An 18,022-nucleotide genomic window follows, 5' to 3' on the forward strand; every position below is an offset into this window, starting at 1 on the left:
AGAAAAACAGAACAAGGCTGGGTGCAGTAGCTCATGCCTGTAATTCCAGCACTTTGGGAGGCCAAGGCAGGCGGATCACAAGGTAGGAGATCAAGACCATCATGGCCAACATGGTGAAACCCCGCCTCTACTAAAAATACAAAAATTAGCTGGGTGTGGTGGTGCATGCCTGTAATCCCAGCTACTCAGGAGCTGAGGCATGAGAATCGCTTGAACCTGGGAGGCAAAGGTTGCAGTGAGCCGAGATTGTGCCACTGTACTCCAGCCTGGCAACACAGCAAAATTCCATCTCAAAAAAACAAAACTAAACTAAAACAAAAACAGAACAAAACAATACACACTAGAACAACAGAAAATAACTCCTTAGGCAGTGTGTAGCAAACCAAACAGAAAGGTACACTACAGAGCATTTAGGGTACAGAATGACAGAGACAGTGATTCAAAGACAAACAAAACAAAAGATTTAACACAATTATTAACCCAATCCCAAGGGAAACAAGAAGTTACACAAGGAATGGAATGCACATCATACTTCATACTTACTTAAGAGAAAAAATATATATAAAGTTGTAATCATGAAAATGGTGAATTGGATTAAACCACAAAGGGTGATAAAATCATATGGATGGGCAGGGCAGAAGGAGGGGATAGGGAGACTAAGAGCTAAAATATAAAATAATGTACCACAAATAGGTAGCTAAAAAATATAAAAATGTATAAAATATAATAGTAATGGCCGGGTGCGGTGGCTCATGCCTGTAATCCCAGCACTTTCAGAGGCCAAGGCGGGCGGATCACCTGAGGTCGGGAGTTCGAGACCAGCCTGACCAACATGGAGAAACCCTGTTTCTACTAAAAATACAAAATTAGCCAGGCGTGGTGGCACATGCCTGTAATCCCAGCTACTCAGGAGGCTGAGGCAGGAGGATCGCTTGAACCGGGAGGCGGAGGTTGCAGTGAGCCGAGATCGCGCCATTGCACTCCAGCCTGGGCAACAAGAGTAAAACTCCGTCTCAAACAAAAAATAATAATAATAAAAATAAATAAATAAAATATAATAGTAAATGTATATTATGTAGATAGGTGGAAACAGCATAAACAACTGAAAAAATTGAAAGTAGTTGCCTCTGGAGAATGAAGGAAAGAGATAAATATCACTTTGTTACTTTGTCATAAGCTTCTCAGTAACAAATGAAGTGCCTGTATCAGGGCCTATAATCTCAGGTACGCAGGAGGCTGAGACGGGAGGATCACTTGAGCCCAGGAGTTCAAGACCAGCCTGGGTAAAATAGCAAGACCCCATCTCAAAACCATTTTTTTAAAACAAATACAAAAAAATTTTAAAGTTTCTCCTTATAGAGAGTAGCAGGAGAATCAGGGTGAGGCTGCACACTGGCAGGGCTCCACAGACCCAGGCTGAAGAACCTGCCTCACTGCAGACCCTGGGTATCCAAACTTTCTTTTCAGAATCAAAGTGGCACAACTGTACCTGTCAGCATTCCTCCTAATTCCTGCAAAAGCCTAAACTGCTGCAGGCTGCAGGTGGACTCCAAGAACAAAGTACAGAGGCAGTAAATGGGAAAAGGACAGAGATCTGAGGAGGATCTGCAAAAGTAGCATATGACAAAGTCCATTCAAAGCCATTCCCACAGCTCCCTACATGAGCTAAAAGGATGACCAGGTCCTGAGAGGTCAAGCCCATTCCTCCTGAACAACTTGTCTAGTCTTCCTTCCACTAGAATGGCCAACCCAGTTCCATGTTTCACAACCTACAGACCCCTGCCTGGCAGCTCCAGAAAGCAGAAAGCTCAAATCTGGCACAGGAAAAACCAGGACATGCACAAATATGGACTAAGGAAGCCTATTCAACTCTTCAAAGACTTGGGTTTATACAAGACATTCTCACCACAACTCCAGGACCCAGCACATTGCCCACCCCTAGGCAGGTGTTCAATAACGTCTAATGACCAAGAGGCAGGTAAGCCTACCTTCCTTCTGTAAGGGCAGAGGACTCTAAGTGGACCTGAAGCCTAGAACCTCCATCAGACACTGCTCAGACTCTACCCTGGGCACTAGAGATGTAAGGAGGAGGAGCTTAAAGAAGAAAGAACAAGGCCAGGTGCCATGGCTCACGCCTGTAATTCCAGCACTTTGGGAGGCCAAGGAGGGCAGATCACGAAGTCAGGAGTTCAAGACCGGCCTGGCCAATATGGTGAAACCCCATCTCTACTAAAAATACAAAAATTAGTCGGGCATGGTGGCAGACGCTTGTAGTCCCAGCTACTCGGGAGGCTGAGGCAGGGAGAATTGCTTGAACCCGGGAGGCGGAGGTTGCAGTGGGCTGAGATCGTGCCACTGCACTCCAACCTGGGTGACAGAATGAGACTCCATAAAAAAAAAGAAGAAGAAGAAAGGGCAGGCCAGGCGTGGTGGCTCATATCTGTAATTCCAGCGCTTTGGGAGGCTGAGGCAGGCAGATCACCTGAGCTCAGGAGATTAAAACCAGCTGGCCAACATGGCAAAACCCATCTGTACTAAAATTATAAAAATGAGCTGGGCATTGTGGCAGGTGCCTGTAATCCCAGCTACTTGGGAGGCTGAGGCAGGAGAATCACTTGAACCCAGGAGGTGGAGGTTGCAGTGAGCCAAGATCGGACCACTGCACTCCAGTCTGAGTGGCAGAACAAGACTCCATCTCGAAAAAAAAAAAAAAAAAAAAAAGAAGGGTAGCACCACCTCACTCAAGGACGGTTGGGCAGGCACTGCCTCAAGATCTTCCTAAGCCAGATGCAGTGGCTCATGCCTGTAATCCCAGCACTTTGGGAGGCTGAGGCGGGCAGATCACAAAGTCAGGAGTTTGAGACCAGCTTGGCCAACATGGTAAAACCCCATTTCTACTAAAAACACAAAAATTAGCCGGGCATGGTGGCAGGTGCCTGCAATCCCAGCTACTCGGGAGGCTGAGGCAGGAGAATCACTTGAACCCGGGAGGCAGAGTTTGCAGTGACCGAGATTGCGCCACTGCACTCCAGCCTGGGCAACTGAACAAGACTCTTGTCTCAAAATAAATAAATAAATAAATAAATAAATAAATAAATAAATAAATAGTTTAAAAAGATCTTCCTTCTGCACCCAAGTCCTACAGGAATCCTGGGAACAACTTCGCCAAGGCTGAGTCCATCACTTACTATCACTCCCTTTTTATCTGGATGACTACTACTTAGTTTCTGTATATTTAATCAAGGCTATAAATTTAGAGACTATAATAGAGTGTTTATATGAAAGTTATATTTTAGGGCCAGGCGTGGTGGCTCATGCCTGTAATCCCAGCACTTCGGGAGGCTGAGGCGGGTGGATCATGAGGTCAGGAGATCGAGACCATCCTGGTTAACATGGTGAAACCCTGTCTCTACTAAATATACAAAATTAGCCAGGCATGGTGGTGCATGCCTATAATCCCAGCTACTCAGGAAGCTGAGGCAGGAGAATCACTTGAACCAAGGAGATGGTTCAAGAGATTGCGGTGAGCCAAGATTGTGCCATTGCACTCCAGACTGGACAACAAGAGCAAAACTCCGTCTCAAAAAAAAAAAAGTTATATTTTAGGAAGCAAAGGAAAAGATCTCAATGAGGTCTTTAAGACCTGTGTTAATGAAGTTATTTATTATTATTATTAATATTATTCTTATTTTGAGACAGAGTTTTATTCTTTTTGCCCAGGCTGGAGTGCAATTAGCCAGGCATGATGGCACATGCCTGTAATCTCAGCTACTCGGGAAGCTTAGGCAGGAGAATCTCTTGAGCCTGGGAGGCAGAGGTTGCAGTGAGCCAAGTTCATGCCACTGTAGTCAAGCCTGGGCAACAGAGTGAGACCATGTCTCAAAATATATATATATAATAATAATAATAACTCCAAACCAATTTAATGTCCCTGTCTAGGGGAACTGGAGACTGATAGCTTCTCTCAGTGTTTCTAGGACTGGCTGACTTTTCCTTCAGACTTTATTCATATGCGCTTCTGACATGGATCCCTATCAAACTGACTGATCCAGATGCAGGTGTACATTTTCTTTTTTCTTTTTCTTTTTTTGAGACAGAGTTTCACTCTTGTTGCCCAGGCTGGAGTGCAATGGTGCAGTCTCAGCTCACTGCAGTGTGGGCAAAGGATTACCTAGGTGCCGAGGCAACAGACTGAAGGCACAAACTGTTTCACTATAATAAAGAAAATAGAATAGTTATAATACAAATTAGATATAGAGATGATCATGGACATTATCAATCATTAGTATAAACATTATTAATCATTAGCTTTTAATATTACTCTTTGTTGTATTACTAATATAAACAAGAAATAACCGGCAGGTATAGGGTCCGGTGCTGAAGGGACATTGTGAGAAGTGACCAAGAAGGCAAGAGGTGAGCCCTCTGTCACGCCCGCATAAGGGCCGCTTGAGGGCTCCTTGGTCAAGCAGTAACGCCAGTGCCTGGGAAGGCACCCGTTACTTAGCAGACCATGAAAGGGAGTCTCCTTTCCTTGGAGGAGTCAGGGAACACTCTACTCCACCAGCTTCTTGTGGGAGGCTGGATATTATCCAGGCCTGCCCAGTTTTCCAGAGGCCTAAACCCCTCCCTGTGACGCTGTGCTTCAGTGATCACGCTCCTTGTCCACTTTCATGTTCCTCCCATACTCCTGGTTCCTCTTTGATCTCGCTCTGTCACCCAGGCTGGAGTGCAGTGGCAGGATCTCGGCTCACTGCAAGCTCCGCCTCCTGGGTTCACGCCATTCTCCTGCCTCAGCCTCCTGAGTAGCTGGGACTACAGGCGCCCACCTCCATGCCCAGCTAATTTTTTGTATTTTTTTTAGTAGAGACGGGGTTTCACCGTGTTAGCTAGGATGGTCTTGATCTCCTGACCCTGTGATCCACCTGCCTCAGCCTCCCAAAGTGCTGGGATTACAGGCATGAGCCACCGCGCCCGGCCTGATCTTTCTTATAAGTGCATAGAGGAAAATGCTGATGTATGCTGCCTTCCCTCTCTGCTTCGGCTACCTAAAACAGAAGGGCTCCCTATCCCATGATCACGTGATTTGCCTGACCTTATCAATCACTTGGATAACTCACCCTCCTTACCCTGCCCCCTTGTCTTTTTTTTTTTTTTTTTTTTTGAGATAGAGTCTCGCTTTGTCGCCCATGCTGGAGTGCAGTGGTGTGATCTCAGCTCACTGCAAGCTCCGCCTCCTGGGTTCACACCATTCTCCTGCCTCAGCCTCCCGAGTAGCTGGGACTACAGGTGCCCGCCACGACGTCCGGCTAATTTTTTGTATTTTTAGTAGAGATGGGGTTTCACCGTGTTAGCCAGGATGGTCTCGATCTCCTGACCTCGTGATCCACCCGCCTCAGCCTCCCAAAGTGCTGGGATCACAGGCGTGAGCCAGCGCGCCCAGCCACCCCCTTGTCTTGTATTCAATAAATATCAGCGCGCCCAGCCATGCAAGGCCACTACCAGTCTCCATGTCTTGGTAGTGGTCCCCCCGGCCCAGCTGTTTTCTCTTTATCTCTGTCTTGTGTCTTTATTTCTTATGATCTCTCATCTCCACACATGGGGAAAACATCCGCTAAGCCCCGTAGGGCTGGACCCTACACTGCAACCTCCCCGTCCTGGGTTCAAGCGATTCTCGTGCCTCAGCCTCCCAAGTAGCTGGGACTACAGGCGCATGCCACCGTGCACAGCCAATTTTTGTATTTTTAGTAGAGACGGGGTTTCATGATGTTGGCCAGGGTGGTCTTGAACTCCTGAACTCCGGCAATCCACCCACCTTGGCCTCCCAAAGTGCTGGGATTATAGGCGTAAGCCACCATGATTGGCCTTTTTTTGTTTTTCAGGCAGGGTCTCACTCTGTCACCCAGGTTGGAGTGCAGTGGTGCAATCTTGGCTCACTGCAAACTCTACCTCCTGGTGGAGTGATCCTCCCACCTCAGTCTCCTGAGTGGCTGGGACTACAGATGTACATGCGCTACCATGCCCCTCTAATTTTTGCATTTTTTGTAGAGATGACACTCTCTACATGTTGCCCAGGCTGGTCTTAAACTCCTGACCTCAAGTGATCCACCTGCCTTGGCCCCCAAAGCGCTAGGATTAGAGGCGTGAGCCACCACACCCAGCTCAGATGTACATTTTCTTCCATTTCACATCTCAATTATTACTCACTAGTTCTCCGTCGTCTAAATTCCATCTTCCAAAAGAGAGAACCATTTTATTAGCCTTAGTCATCTGTATAAAACAGTAGCTAGAACTATCAGAGACTCCAAAGCAGATGACAACAGGGGGGCACAGGGTGGCGTGGTGAAGGAGCGGCAGCTGTGAGCTAGCTGTCCAGCAGAACCACACAGTTAACCTACTCTCCTTGGGGGTAACAAATCAACCCCGTGAATGTGTTCTGAGTAAGAGGAATGCCCAGCACCATATACCAACCTCTCTAAAAAGAGTCTTCCGGAAACAGTCAAAGGTCCCAGAGTACATGGGAGGTTGTCCAGGCAAACTCGGTGGCTGTGTCTGCAGTCGGACCTGAAAACAGAAGTTAAAATGCAGTCACCTACCAGAATCAGAACTGCCTGTCAGCAGCAATGGCCCAACTGTCTGCCAAACTGAACAGGGAAGGCTGTACCCTTGTACATGTCTTTGGCATTCACTTAACCTGCTGGATTCAAACTTCTCTTTCATTTCATTAGTACTTCATTCCTTTTATTGGCAAATAATATCCCATCGTATGAATAAATCACATTTTGTATGCCTGCCTATTCATCAGTTCATAGACATTTGTGTTTTTCCTACTTTTTGATTATTATGAATAATGCTGCTATAAACATTTGTGTACAAGTTTTTTGTGTGGATATATGTTTTCAGTTCTCTTCGGTATTGTATTGGTCAGAATTCTCCAGAGAAACAGAACCAACAGGAGATATATATCAAGAGATTTATTATAAGCAATTGGCTCATACAATTATAAAGGTTGAGAAGTCCCAAGATCTGTAGTCGGCAAGTTTGAGACCCAAAAAGAACCAATGATTCAGTTCAAGTCTGAAGGCGGGAAAAGACTAATGTCCCACCTCAAGTATTCAGGCAGGAGTTCCCTCTTACTTGCAGGAAGTGTCAGTCAGCCTTTTGATCTATTTAGGCCTTCAACTGGATGAGGTCCACTCACATTAGGGAGGACAATTAGCTTTAATCAGTCCACAGATTCAAATGTTAATATCCAAAACCACCCTCACAAGCACACTCAGAATAATGTGTGACCAAATACCTAGGTACTCTGTGGCCTAGTCAAGGTGACACATAAAATTAACCATCACAGGTATTTATCCACTGGCATAATTTCTAACTTATATGTCAACTCTGTTTAAACCTTTTGAGGAACTGCCAGACTGTTTTGCAAAGTGGCTGCACCATTTTATATTCCCATAAGCAGTCTAGGAGGGTCCCAATTTCTCCATATCTTCAATACTTATTATCTTTATATATATATACTTTTTTTTTTTGGAGACAAGGTTTCACTCTGTCACTCAGGCTGGAGTGCGGCGGTGTGGTCAATAGCTCACTACAACCTTGACCTCCTGGGCTCATGCAATCCTCCCACCTCAGCCCCCCAAGCAGCTGGGACTACAGGTGCACACCACAATGCCAGGCTAATTTTTATTGTTTTTGTAGAGACAGAATCTCACTATATTGCTCTATATCTAACTTTTTTTTTTAAGCCATCATATTGGGTATGAGGTGGTATGTCATTGTGATTTTGATTTGCATTTCCATGATGGATAATGACACTGAACAACTTCTCACATGCTTATTAGCCCATCTTCAGAGAAATGCCTATTTAGGTCCATGGCTGGGTGTGGTGGCTCACATCTGTAATCCCAGAACTTTGGGAGGCAGAGGTGGAAGGATCACTTGAGGCCAGGAGTTCAAGATTACAGAAAACTGTGATGGTGCCACTACACTTCAGCTTGGGTAAAAGAGCAAGACCTGGTCTCTTTTTATTTATTTATTGAGACAGGGTCTCACTGTCTCGCCCATGCTGGAGTGCAGTGGTATGATCTTGGCTCACTGCCACTTTCGCCTCCCAGGCTCAGGTGATCCTCCCACCTCAGCCTCCCAAGTAGCTGGGACCTCAGGTGCATGCCATGCTCGGCTAATTTTGGTTTTTTTGTAGAGATGGGTTTTCACCATGTTGCCCAGGCTGATCTGGAACTCCTGGACTCATACAATCTGCCTGCCTTAGCCTCCCAAAGTGCTACGATTACAGATATGAGCCACCATGGCCAGCCAAGACCCAGTCTCTTTAAAAAAGAAAAAAAAAAAAAAAAAAAAAAAGGAGGCCAGGCGCGGTGGCTCACACCTGTAATCCCAGCATTTTGGGAGGCTGAGGTGGGTCAATAACCTGAGGTCAGGAGTTCAAGACCAGCATGGCCAACATGGCAAAACCCTGTCTCCACTAAAAATACAAAAATTAGCCAGGTGTGGTGGCACGCACCTGTAATCCCAGCTACTTGGGAGGCTGAGGCAGGAGAATTGCTTGAACCCGGGAGGCAGAGGTTGTGGTGAGTCAAAATCGCACCTTTGCACTTCAGCCTGGGCAAGAGTGAGACTCCTTCTCAAAAAAAAAAAAAAAAGAAGAAGATTCTCTCTCTCTCTCTCTCTCTCTCTCTCTCTCTCTCGACAGGGTCTTACAGGCTGGAGTCTTTGCCGATTTTTAATTGGATTGTCTTTTTTTTTTTTTTTGAGGCAGAGTCTTGCTCTGTCACCCAGGCTGGAGTGCAGTGGCTCAATCTCAGTTCACCACAAGCCTCCTGGGTTCAAGTGATTCTCCTGTCTCAGCCTCCCGCGTAGCTGGGATTACAGGTGCGTGCCACCACACCCAGGTAACTTTTGCATTTTTTTTTTTTTTTTTAGTAGAGACAGGGTTTCGCTGTGTTGGCCAGACTGGTCTCGAACTTCTGACCTCAGGTGATCCACCCGCCTCGGCCTCCCAAAGTGCCGGGATTACAAGCATGAGCCACCGGCCCGGCCCTGATAAATGTTTATTGTTGTTTTAAGCCATTAAGTTTTGGGGTAAGTTGGTTTGGTTTTTTGGGTTTTTTTGAGACAAGGTCTTGCTCTGTCACCTAAGCTGGCATGCAGTGGTGCCATCTTGGCTAACTGCAGCCTTAAACTCCTGGGCTCAAGTGATCCTCCTGCCTCATTGGAGGAAACTGGTAAACCACAATAGATAACTGATATATCCAGTTACTTCTGCAGTCTTTTTCCTGAATTTTGTTTTGTTTTGTTTTGTTTTGAGACAGAGTTTCACTCATTGCCCAGACTGGAGAGCAATGGCATGATCTTGGCTCACCGCAACCTCTGCCTCCCAGGTTCAAGCGATTCTCCTGCCTCAGCCTCTCAAGTAGCTGGGATTACAGGCATGTGCCACCACTCCCGGATAATTTTGCATTTGTATATTTATTTTTATTTATTTATTTATTTTTTGAGATGTAGTTTCACTCGTCGCCCAGGCTGCACAGCAATGGTGCGATCTGGGCTCACCGCAACCTCTGCCTCCTGGGTTCAAGCGATTCTCCTGCCTCAGCCTCCCAAGTAGCTGGGATTACAGGTATGCACCACCAAGCCCAGCTAATTTTGTGTTTTTAGTAGAGATGGGATTTCTCCACGTTGCTCAGGTTGGTCTCGAACGTCCAATCTCAGGTGATCTGCCCGCCTCAGCCTCCCAAAGTGCTGGGATTATAGGCGTGAGCCACCATGCCTGGCCTAATTTTGTATTTTTAGTAGAGACGGAGCTTCTCCATGTTGGTCACCTGCTCTTGAACTCCCAACCTCAGGTGATCTGCCCGCCTCAGACTCCCAAAGTGGGATTACAGGCGTGAGCCACCGCGCCCAGCCCTTCCTGGATGTTTTTCCTGCTCACTGTTCTGCTTCCAAATCCTTCTCAAGGTTGCTATTATACTAACCTTTCCAAAACATCATTTTTACCATGTTGTTTCTTTATTTCTTTGGAATCTCTTATTCTTGTATTTGTCAGGTCCTTCTATATCATCATTTTTACCATTTTTTTAATAATTTCTTTAGAATTTATTATTCTTGTATTTGTCAGGGCCTTCCATATCAAACCAAGGAAGTCCCTCTCTGGGCAACAGAGGTGACACGTAAGTCTGAGGGGTTTATGGGACACAATAGAAATGCCCAGAGGCCACCATACCTTTACATCCAAAATCCCTCATATTGTCCTTCAGATCTCCCATAGTCAGGCATAACCTCCCCTAGTTAGTAGAGAGAGAGAAATGGATCAAAGCTTCTGACTAGACCAGGTACAGTGGCTCACACCTATAATCCCAGCACTTCAGGAGGCCAAGGCCGGAGGATCACTTGAGGCCACGAGTTTGAGACCAGCCTGCCCAACATGGAGAAACCCCATCTCTACTAAAAATACAAAAATTAGCCAGGCATGGTGGTGGGCACCTATAATCCCAGCTACTCAGGAGGCTGAGGCAAAAGAATTGCTTGAACTCGGGAGATGGAAGTTGCCATGAGCCAAGATCCTGCCACTGTACTCCAGCCTGGGTGACAGAGGGAGAGTCTTGTCTCAAAAAAAAAAAAAAAAAAAATTCTGACTAATACCTTGTTGTGATTTTTTTTTTCTTTTGAGACAGTGTCTCATTCTGTTGCCCAGAATGGAGTGCAAAGGCTCACTGCAGCCTCAAACTCCTAGGTTCAACCGATCCTCCAGCCTCAGCCGCCTGAGTAGCTGGGATTACAGATGTGCACCACCATGCCCAGCTAATTTTTGTATTTTTTATAGACATGAGGTCTTGCCATGTTGCCAAGGCTGCCTTTTTGTGATTTTATATACACTTCATACCTCATACCTGTCTCAACAGGATATCAGCCATCCAAACCAGCAAGAACATTAAAGTCCTTTGCAGGTGGTTTTTGTTTTGTTTTGTTTTGTTTTGTTTTGTTTTGTTTTGTTTTTGGGAAGGAGTCTCACTCTGTCACCCAGGCTGGAGTGCAATGGCACAATCTCAGCTCACTGCAACCTCCGCCCTGTGGGTTCAAGCGATTCTCCTGCCTCAGCCTCCCAATTAGCTGGGATTACAGGCACCTGCCACCACATGCAGCCAATTTTTTTTTTTTGTATTTTTAGTAGAGATGGGATTTCACCATGTTGGCCAGGCTGGTCTCGAACTCCTGACCTCAGGTGATCCACCTGCCTCAGCCTCCCAAAGTGCTGGGATTAACAGGCATGAGCCCACCGTGACCGGCCTAGGTTGTCTTATTTTATAATATGATCCCCACTTGCAAGCCACACTCACCTTCACTCCTGCCTTCCCATCAGACTGTCTGGGTCTCCCTACTCCTTCAGTCTGAACTCACCCAGCACTTGAATGCCTGTTCTAACGCACCACCTTCCATAGAGCCTTTTCATGACCCACTCTGAAGCGCTGCAGCTTTTGCCTTGTCAGGACACACAGCCCACAGCTCAGTTACACTATCTTGGACTTCTTTTTTTTCTTCTTCTCCTTTTTTTTTTTTTTTTTTAACCTTGGAACTCTGAAAGTACCTTAAGGTCAGGCTTTGATTGGAGCCCACCCAGCTCACTAAGGCCAAAAACACAGCAGTCAGCAATTTGTGGTTTTGGTTTAAGCTAAAAAGAGGCTTTCTGGTTGCTAAATATGCCAGTGAGCATTTCAGTTATTTGCACTTCAGTGCAGAGGTCATCCAGTCCTTCTTGGGAGTGACATCAAGGACAAAGGTGATATGGAGGTAGGAGCAATATTTGTGTGTGTGTGAATATATATATATATATATATATTTTTTTTTTTTTTTTTTTTAAGGGCGGCCCCAGAGGCCTAGAACTAATAAGATATCTGCCTATATGGACCAAGAGCAGGAAGAAAGGCCAGACAATCGTCCCTCAGTAGACAGTGCCGCTTGGAATGACCACAGTCTGGGAAGCACTAACACATGGCATTTACCACCAGCTAAATAAACATTTGATTTCATGTTGCACAATGACCTAGCCAGTCCAGCTACTTTAACCCTGGTCTTCCTATAGAATGACCCCAGTATGAGCTCTACTTCAGGGCAGCTCCTCTCTTGGATGAAAGGCAGCAAAGAGCTTGCTGCCCAAGCTGGCCAAGAGGAAGTGCCCACAAAACTATTTCGCTGTGGAAGAAATCTGACCCAACATCCTAACAAACCCCCTCACATGGGCTTCCAATCTTTTAAAACTCATGTCTGCTCCCCACAGGCCCACCCTGGCAATGACTTGTCAATTTCCTTCACGTCTACGTCTAGAAAAAAAGTGAGAAAACTGGATGCAGCTTCGAGTGCTAAGCCATGGGGGATGGACTTTGGTCCCCAAGCAAAGCATTAATGAAGGTGTTGCAAGGGGAATAGTTGAGATATGATATGAGGAAGACCAGAGAACAATTCCTGATGAACGTCCTCCCTCCCAAGCCTCAGTCTGACCATAGCTTCCTCATCTGGGAGTTGTGAGAATGAGGCTGGCCTTGTGCAAAGCTGATCACCTTGCTTTCCGTGGAAGGGGCTCGGTCACTGAGGTCATCATTGCTTCTCACAGGGATGCCTCTGCCCAGGAGGCTGAGCAGGCCACCGTTGGGTGACAGGCCGAAGAGTGTCAAGTATCTCCCCGGGCCGGGAAAGGTGCGAAAGAGATGGGTACTCTTGCCCCAGGGGAATGTATCAAAGGACACCTCCAGAACAACCGTACCGCTCTGTCTTTAGTTGTCTTCCTGGGGCAGGCTTTACAGGGGACCTGTTTCAACCTTAACGATAATATTAGTGTTGGCTGAAACCAAAACTATGGAGAGACGTTTATTCCTTCCCATCCCTAAAGAAGTGGCGCAGGGTCAGAAGAGACTGCGGGACAGGGAACTTTACATCAGAGCTCTTGACAGGCAGTTAGAGGCTGCTCACTTTGCGCCGCCGCCTGGCTCTTTGGGGCGCAAGGTACAGCTTCCTGCCCACCCCTGAAAGAGAGATTCCCTAGACTTCTCACGGAAGCTCACACATGCCCCTCTTCTGCCCAGCGTCCGCGCCTCGCGGGGGACCATGCTTTCCGCGCCCCGCCCGGGCCTCCTCCCCAAAGCCTGCGACCCAGCCTCCCGCACCTTGACCGTGTCCAGAGGGTGACCGACGAACACCAGGCACACGCCGCCAAAGCCGCCGGCCAGCAGGTTCTTGAGCGGGCTGATGGGTTTTGGCTGGTCGGCCATGGTCAGTCCGTCTGTCACTCCGTCTGTCAGTTCTCGGGCCGTCCTGGCTTCTCAGCCCCAGCTGCAGTGCCGGCGCCGCCGACCTTTCACCCACTTTTGGGTGGGCGGGGCACGAGCCCGGGGCAGGTCGGGAGGAGGGCCCAGTTGGCACGGTAGGGCTTCCGCCCGGGGCTGCTTCCGGCCTCGGCCCCGCTTCGATGGGCGTGGCAGAGCGCAAAGCCGCATGGGCGGGGTTTGGGAGTGTGGGCCAGCGGGCCTATTCCTCCAGGAAGCCTTCCCAGACTTCCATGTTTCCTCTGAGCTCCCATTCATCCACTCACTCCAGAGAGATCAATTGCGCCCTGCCATATGCCAGGCGTCCTTCTAGGTGCTGGAGGCACCCCTGGTAGTACAACACACAGGTCCCTGTCCTCCTGGAATTTACAGACCATAACAAAGATAAATAACTAAAAAATGCATAGTGTATCAAGTAGTAATAAGTACTACGGAGAAAAATCCAGGAAGAGAGTTAGAGGGTGTGTGGGACAAGTGATTTGCAATTTTAGTTCGTTGAATAAGGGAGGGTTTAACTGAAAAGGTGACAGGATTCAAGACCTGAGAAGATGAGAGAGGGAGTTCTGTTCACACATAACAGGGTCAAGGGTGAGGAACCTTCCACCCAGAAGAAAAAGAAAATGCAAAAGCCTTGAGATGGTCTGTGCCTGACATGTTTGAGAAACCACAGGAAGAGGGAGGGTAGTAGCTGATGAGGCGACAGAGGTTTTGGAGGCACTAGAAGACAGGTTTGGGCCTGGTGTTATGGCTCATGTCTGTAATCCCAGCTCTTTGGGAGGCCAAGGCGAGAGGATTGCTTAAACCCAGGAGTTTGAGACCAGCCTGACTTATATAGCGAGACTCTTGTCTCTAAAAAAAAAAAGTTAGGCCGGGCCCAGTGGCTCACACCTGTAATCCCAGCACTTTGGGAGGCCAAGGCAGGCATATCAACTGAGGTCAGGAGTTTGAGACCAGCCTGACCAACATGGAGAAACCCCGTCTCTACTAAAAATACAAAATTAGCGGGGCATGGTGGCGCATGCCTGTAATCCCAGCTACTTGGGAGGCTGAAGCAGGAGAATCACTTGAACTTGGGAGGCAGAGATTGCGGTGAGCCCAGATCGTGCCATTGCACTCCAGCCTGGGCAAAAAGAGCGAAACACTGTCTCTACAAAAAAAAAAAAAAAAAAAAAAAAAAAAAGTTAAAGGCCCGACGCAGTGGCTCATGCCTATAATCCCAGCACTTTGGAAGGCCAAGGCAGGTGGATCACCTGAGGTCAGGAGTTCAAGACCAGCCTGGCCAACATGGTCAAACCCCGTCTCTACTAAAAATACAAAAACTTGCCAGCCGTAATGGCAGACGCCTATGCCTGTGATCCCAGCTACTCGAGAGTCTAAGGCAGGAGAATCGCTTGAGCCCAGGAGGCGGAGCTTGCAGTGAACCGAGATCTTGCCACTGTCTCTCCTCTGAAGGACGTAGAAGTCATTGCAGGGTACTGAGTGGGGAGCGACATAGTCTGACATCGTTATCAGGATCCCCCTTTGATTGCTGGGTGAAAATAGACTCCAGGGGGCAAGAAGAAACAAGGAGCCTTAAGGAGGCTAAAAGCCATGGCCAGAGATGTTGACTTGCGCCAGGGCATAACAGAGGAGGTAGTAAGAAGTGGTCAGATTCGGCCGGGCGTGGTGGCTCACGCCTGTAATCCCAGCACTTTGGGAGGCCGAGGCGGGTGGATCTCAAGGTCAGGAAATCGAGACCATCCTGGCTAACATGGTGAAACCCCGTCTCTACTAAAAATACAAACAAAAAAATTAGCCGGGCATCATGGCGGGCATCGTGGCGGGCATCTGTAGTTCCAGCTACTCGGGAGGCTGAGGCAGGAGAATGGCGTGAACCTGGGAGGCGGAGGTTGCAGTGAGCTGAGATCGTGCCACTGCACTCCAGCCTGGGTGACTGAGCAAGACTCCGTCTCAAAAAAAAAAAAAAAAAAAAAAAAGAGGTGGCCAGATTCTGGATATAGTCTAAAGAAAAAAAAATTTTAAGTTGTCAATTAATAGGATATAAAGCAGCTAGGCACAGTGGTTCACGCCTGTAATCCCAGCACTTTGGGAGACCGAGGCATACAGATCATGAGGTCAGGAGATCGAGACCATCCTGGGTAACACAGTGAAACCCCTTCTCTACTAAAAACACAAAAAATTAGCCAGGTGTGATGGCACAGTGCTTGCAGTCCCACCTACTCAGGAGGCTAAGGCAGGAGAATCGCGTGAACCCGGGAGGTGGATTTTGCAGTTAGCCAAGATCACGCCACTGCACTCCAGCCTGGCAACAGAGTGAGACTCTTTCTCAAAAAAAAATAAAATAAATTAAAATAAATAAATAAATAAAAAGGATATAAAAAGGATATAAAGGGTGTCAAAGAAGATTTAAGATTATGGGGCCGGGGCTGGGCGCAGTGGTTCACGCCTGTAATCCCAGCACTTTGGGAGGCCGAGGTGGGCGGATCATGAGGTCAGGAGATCGAGACTATCCTGGCTAACACGGTGAAACCCCATCTCTACTAAAAATACAAAAACTTAGCCGGGCGTGGTGGCAGTAGCCTGTAGTCCCAGCTATTCAGGAGGCTGAGGCAGGAGAATGGCAAGAACCCAGGAGGTGGAGCTTGTAGGGAGCCGAGATCGCGCCACTGCACTCCAGCCTGGGCAACAGAGTGAGACTCCGTCTCAAAAAAAAAAAAAAAAGAAAAGAAAAAAAAAGAATTATGGGCCGGGCACAGTGGCTCACACCTGTAATCCCAACATTTTGGGAAGCCCAGGCAGGCGGATCATGAGGTCAAAGTTCGAGACCAGCCTGGCCACCATGGTGAAATGCTCTCTCTACTAAAAATACAAAAATTAGCTAGGCGTGCTGGCATGTACCTATAATCCCAACTGCTCAGGAGGCTGAGGCAGGAGAATCGTTTGAACCCAGGAGGCAGAAGTTGCAGTGAGCCGAGACCACGCCATTGCACTCCACCCTGGGTGACAGAGCAAAACTCCGTCTCAAAAAAAAAAAAACCACAAAAAAACAACTATATGCATTGGAGCAAATTTTTAGAAAGGGATTCATAAATGCCTTCACACAGGAAAAAATAGGCAATCAAGCATTCTCATTCGAATGAGGGGCCAGGCGCAGTGGCTCACACCTGTAATCCCAGCACTTTGGGAGGCCAAGGTGAGTGGATCGTGAGGTCGGGAGATCAAGACCATCCTGGCCAACATAATGAAACCCCATCTCTACTAAAAATACAAAAATTAGCTGGGCATGGTGGCATGTGCCTGTAATCCCAATACTAGGGAGGCTGAGGCAACAGAATCACTTGAACCAGGGAGTGGGAGGTGGCAGTGAGCTGAGATGGCACCACTGCACTCCAGCCTGGCCACAGAGCAAGACTCTGTCTCAATAATCATCATCATCATCATCAGGGCCAGGCACCATGGCTCATGCCTATAATCCCAGAAATTTGTGAGGTCGAGAGAGGCAGATCATTTGAGGTCGGGAGTTCAAGACCAGCCTGACCAACATGGTGAAACCCCATCTCTACTAAAAATACAAAAAAAATTATCTGGTGTGGTCGTGGGTGCCTGTAATCTTGGCTACAAGGGAGACTGAGGCAGGAGAATTGCTTGAACCCAGGAGGCAGAAATTGCAGTGAGCAGGGATCGCTGACAGAGTGAGACTCTGTCTCAAAAAGAAAAAAAGAATCAGAACACATTATATATATATACTTTTTTTTTTTGAGGCGGAGTCTTGCTCTGTGGCCCAGGCTGGAATGCAATGGTGTGATATTGGTTCACTGCAACCTCCACCTCCAGGGTACAAGCGATTCTCTTGCCTCAGCCTCATGAGTAGCTGGGATTACAGGCACCCGCCACCACACCTGGCTGATTTTTGTATTTTTAGTAGAGACAGGGTTGGCCAGGTGCAGTGGCTCACATCTGTAATCCCAGCACTTTGGGAGGCTGAGGCGGGTGGATCACCTGAGGTCAGGCGTTCAAGACCAGCCTGGCCATCATGGTGAAACCCCATCTCTGTTAAAAATACAAAAATTAGCTGAGCGTGGTGGTAGGCACCTGTTATCTTAGCTACTCGGGAGGCTGAGGCAGGAGAATTTCTACAACCCGGGAGGTGGAGGTTGCAGTGAGCCAAGATCGTGCCATTGCACTCCAGCCCAGGCAACAACATCAAGACTCCATCTCTGAAAAAAAAAAAAAAAGATATAAAAATTAGTCAGGTGTGATGGCAGGCACCTGTAGTCCCAGCTACTTGGGAGGTGAGGTATGAGAATTGCTTGAACCCAGGAGGCAGAGGTTGCAGTGGGCCAAGATCTTGCCACTGTACTCCCGCCTGGGTGACAGAGAGAGATTCTGTCTCAAAAAAAAAAAAAAAAAATTGATCCTCATACTCAGCCAAACTAGCATCCAAGCAGGAGGATGAAACAGTATCACTCAACTATGCAAACAGACACGTGGGAAGTTGGCTCATGCCTGTAATCCCAGCACTTTGGGAGGCCAAGGTGGGCGGATCACAAGGTCAGGAGATCGAGAACATCCTGGCTAACATGGTGAAACCCCGTCTCTACTAAAAATACAAAAACAAAATTAGCCGGGCATGGTGGTGGGCGTCTGTAGTCTCAGCTACTCGGGAGGCTGAGGTGGGAGAA

At 47.6% G+C, this 18,022-nt stretch overlaps 1 protein-coding gene across 1 annotated transcript in view, besides 2 other annotated features; it reads right to left on the minus strand.

Annotated features, from left to right (window-relative positions):
- The window catches only part of SLC25A20 (solute carrier family 25 member 20), a 41,957-nt gene extending 28,583 nt beyond the window's left edge, over positions 1-13,374 (minus strand). The window contains exons 1-2 of the mRNA NM_000387.6: positions 13,182-13,374; positions 6,472-6,564 (exon numbers count right to left, since the gene is read on the minus strand). Coding sequence (NP_000378.1) covers positions 6,472-6,564; positions 13,182-13,286 — 198 coding nt within the window. The 5' untranslated portion in view covers positions 13,287-13,374. The remainder of the gene's footprint in view (positions 1-6,471; positions 6,565-13,181) is intronic.
- Positions 12,295-12,344: an enhancer, noted in NCBI's record as "active region_19844". NCBI's record gives its function as "activates an Ori minimal core promoter by ATAC-STARR-seq in GM12878 lymphoblastoid cells {active_cell/tissue: GM12878}" and the evidence as "EXISTENCE:reporter gene assay evidence [ECO:0000049][PMID:35858748]".
- Positions 12,925-13,114: a silencer, noted in NCBI's record as "silent region_14341". NCBI's record gives its function as "represses an Ori minimal core promoter by ATAC-STARR-seq in GM12878 lymphoblastoid cells {active_cell/tissue: GM12878}" and the evidence as "EXISTENCE:reporter gene assay evidence [ECO:0000049][PMID:35858748]".

This window comes from Homo sapiens, chromosome 3 (assembly GCF_000001405.40).
Source record: "Homo sapiens chromosome 3, GRCh38.p14 Primary Assembly".
NCBI lineage: Eukaryota > Metazoa > Chordata > Mammalia > Primates > Hominidae > Homo > Homo sapiens.